The sequence below is a fragment of the Homo sapiens genome, chromosome 2 (assembly GCF_000001405.40).
Source record: "Homo sapiens chromosome 2, GRCh38.p14 Primary Assembly".
Classification (NCBI taxonomy): domain Eukaryota; kingdom Metazoa; phylum Chordata; class Mammalia; order Primates; family Hominidae; genus Homo; species Homo sapiens.
Window position 1 is genome coordinate 38268422 of NC_000002.12, and position 4146 is coordinate 38272567.

The 4146-nt window shown below is 39.0% G+C and overlaps 1 long non-coding RNA gene across 1 annotated transcript; it reads right to left on the bottom strand.

Moving 5' to 3' along the window:
* Positions 1-671: 671 nt before the first annotated feature.
* On the bottom strand, positions 672-3782 carry LOC105374467 (uncharacterized). The gene is made up of 3 exons (XR_939973.1): positions 3621-3782; positions 3393-3481; positions 672-807 (listed from the first exon to the last, which is right to left on the bottom strand). It is a non-coding gene; the product is annotated as an uncharacterized LOC105374467 (long non-coding RNA).
* Positions 3783-4146: the final 364 nt, after the last annotated feature.

Below are 4146 nucleotides of genomic sequence, written 5' to 3' on the forward strand. Positions count from 1 at the left end.
GTCTTGTCTTTGGAAGTCTGAGAGATTTTCCCTTGAAGTTGTAGAAGAAATCCTTTGCTTAGGCTGGGGTTGGAATGGGGGTTGGAGTATCTGTTCCTTACACTCAAATAATCTCTCATTAAAACACTGGGAAAACAAGATACAATCTCTTATTAACAGGTACAATCTTATCTACAAGGAGAAGAAAAAGACACCCACAAGGGCTGAGGCACATGTACTCATCGGAGGCAGGAGTAAATATGAGGGCCCCCCTCTGGCCCAGGGCAAACTGAATCCCAAGGCTGATGGTGGGAGTGGTCATTCTCTGAGGATTTCAAAGATACTTCTCTTGGATGAGCAGAGGAGGTTGAGCCAGAAACCAGGAAAAAGTTCCAAAGAAATAAAGCGTCAGCCTGGCATGTTATTGCTGGAGCTGAGGGCCAACAGTTGGTGCCCAGTGTTGGAGGCAGCCTCCCAGGACCCTCTGCAGAGATTGGCTGACTTGAAGGGCTGGGAAACCCATCAAACCAAGAGATGGCCAAGCTCACAGTAGGCCAAAACGCAAACAAATCATAGGCACAAAGCAATATAACTAAGAGAAGGAGACATGGCCAACTTTGGGCATAATCACTGGGATCCTGGTAAGAGTAGATTTCTCATCCAGAGCTGTAAGTAACTCAGATGGTATTTGTCATAAAATTATGAAACACTGTGGGACTTGCGGTTTCTGTAATTTGTCTGCCTCAGAAGAGCTAATGTTTATTGATTTTCTTCTGTACAAGGCAGAATCATCCATTTGGTTTGCCAGTGTTGAAAGTTCTCAGGTTTCTGGAAGAAGCATGAACCAAAAGAATTAAAATGAGTATCTCTATATCAGTTTTCTTCCTAGTTACAGAGAGTGAATATTGCTATAATGAAAGCTTTCACAAACATCCGAAATTTAATTCTTTTGCAAGTCCTCAGAAATTAAAAATGATGGAAGGAAATAAGCATTTATTGAATACCTGACATGTCTCAGGCAGTGAGCTAGGCCCTTTCACAAATTCACAGCAGTGAATTTGATCCTTTGAAGACCTCCAAGAGTTATTGTACTATTTCACTGAAGAGAAAACTGAAGTTTACAGAAACTAAATAGCTTGTCCAATGCCCCACAGCTGTTATGGAGTCAGACTGAGATTCTGACCCATGTCTGTCTGTCTCAAGTCCCTGATTTTTATGTGTCATCATACTGCCTTTCTATGACTGGCTTCCCCAGGGCCTTGGGAACCTAAAGAGCCCATGAAGTACTTAGGCTGCTTGTGGGGCGCTCATTCTTGACTTACAGTTTCATGTGAAACTCTTGGGGTAGAAAGGATGGGAAACATGGAAACTCCTTTTATTAATAAACTTTTTCTAATATGCTATTTTTAATTTTTTTTTTTCCCAAAATGGAGTCTCACTCTGTTACCCAGGCTAGAGTGCAGTGGCGCAATCTCGGCTCACTGCAAACTCTGCCTCCTGGGTTCAAGGGATTCTCCTGCCTCAAGGGACTACAAGGCCACCACACCTGGCTACTTTTTGTATTTTTAGTAGAGACGGGGCTTCACCATATTGGCTAGGCTGGTCTCGAACTTTGGGCCTCAAGCAATCCACCTGCCTTGGCCTCCCAAAGTGCTGGGATTACAGGCATGAGCCACCATGCCCTATATTCATATTTTTAATCCACCTGGAATTTATTTTTGAATGGGATCTGAATTAGGAGGGTTTTATTTTTGTCTAAAGGCCTACCCATGTATGGTAGTACAATTTGTCTTTTAAAGTATCCTTTTCCCACTGAATTGAATATGTTACCTTTGTCATTCATTATGTTTTTATGTTCATTCACTCTACTCCTAGACTCTCTTCTTCTCTCCACTGGTCTATTTTAGCACCAGTTCCTTACTGTCTGAATCCTGTAGCTTAGTTTTAAATTTAACTACCTGGTAAAGCAAGTCACCACTCTTAACTCTTCTCAGACACTTGTTCTTCCATATCATCTTTAACATCTTTTTGTCTATTCCTCTCCACTCACTGAAAATAATCATTTTTATTCCAATTAAATTTAATTATATTTGTATATTAATATGGATTATAAACAAGAATTGGCACTGTAAATTAAATCTTACATTATAAATTTAGTGTCTATTTCTTCATTTATTCGATTTTGTCTTATGTCTTTTAACACAATTTTATGTTTTTTTTCAAGTATGTCTTTTACTCATCTTATTGGACTCACTCCTGAGTATTTTGTAGTTTTTGTTTCTATCAAGAATAAAATTTTTTCTTATTTTCATTTCTAACTGGACATGCTCATTTAGAGAAAAGCTATTGATTTTTTATGTTTCTCGTATTCAGCCATCTTAATTCTCCTCTCCATCCTGGTAAGTTATTTAAGTCACTAAGTTCTAACAGATTATCTAAGTAACTGAATTATGTTTATATTTTCTGCAAAAAAAAAAAAAAGAGATAATTTATTTTGTTTTTCTCCAATATTTTACACATTGTACTATTGCATTATTTAAAACTTCCAAAACAATACTAAATAATGGTAACAAGGGTGGGCACCGTGGCTCACACCTATAATCCCAGTACTTTGGGAGGCCGAGGCGGTCAGATCACCTGAGATCAAGAGTTCGAGACCAGCCTGGCCAACATGGCAAAACCCTGTCTCTACTAAAAATATAAAAATTAGCTGGGCGTGGTGGTACACACCTGTAGTCCCAGCTACTCAGGAGGCTGAGGCAGGAGAATCGCTTGAACCCAGGAGGTGGAGGCTGCAGCAAGCCCAGATTGTGCCACTGCACTCCAGCCTGGCCGACAAAACAAGACTCCATCTCCAAAAAAGAATAATAATAATGGTAATAGCAGGCAATCCCTTGTTCCTGATTTTAAAATGGCTTCAGTATTTCATAGCTTGCTATAGTTATTATTATGTTTAAAAAGTTTTATTCTCCTATTTTACATGAAGTTTTTATTAGTAATTTTTAAGTTTTATGAAATGCCTTTTATAATTTACTGTTATAATAGTTATTTTCTCTTTTCATCTGTTAACCTAGTAGATATATTTTGCTGATAAATATTCTAATTTTAAACTATCTTTACACACCTAAAATAAACTTGATTCAATTTCTATGTATTATTTTTACAATTTTCTATAGGATTTATTGACTAATTTTTGCTTAGAATTTTTGCTTCTGTATTTGTAGATGAAGTTGCCTAGTTTTTTCTATCTTTATCATGCTTTAGTATTAATTATTCTAGCTTTATAAAATAAATTTGGAGCTTTTTTCATATTTTCCTGTGGCCTAGGATAGTTTAAATAATAGCCCGCTACTGTTTCATGGATACTGACACGACACTCCTAAATCAGAGACAAAAGACTATTTATTACTCACAGCAATAGCAGTAGTCAGATATCAGCATCTGTGCACCAATTTCCTAAGCCCTATCTCCCCAGGCCGATGTGAAGAGAGACAGCTGACACCTGCACACACAGAAGGATGGATTACAGGAGAGGCATCCTGAGCTTAGGAATCTGACTGTTTCATAATAAGCATGAAGCATAACTACTCTTCACTCCAGAAAGAGACACTGTTATCTTCCAAGGTTGTAAGCAAACCTACCCTTTACTCTGAAGAGAAACACTGTCTCCATCTTCCAAAGTTATTTACTACACTAACAACCTTGAAAAGATAGTCCAGGATAAGGGACAGTCGGTATTTCGCTCACAGATGCACAAAACGGTAGGAGACCCATGAATAATTATTTCCCAGCGATGCGTAGCTGAGGCTGAAAGGACAAAACATTAGTACTTATTAATTATTAGACAGTGGGCATATGAATGTCATTACACTATTTTCTGACTTCTGAAATAGTTTTAAAACATCTCCCCCTTGGCCGGGCGCAGTGGCTCACGCCTGTAATCCCAGCGCTTTGGGAGGCCGAGTCACTAAATTTATTTAAGTCACTGATCTCAGGCAGATCACCTGAGATCAGGAGTTGGAGACCAGCCTGGCCAACATAGAGAAACTTCGTCTCTACTAAAATACAAAAATCTGCCGGGCGCGGTGGCTCACGCCTAAAATCCCAGCACTTTGGGTGGCTGAGGCAGGCGGATCACGAGGTCAGGAGATCGAGACTATCCTGTCT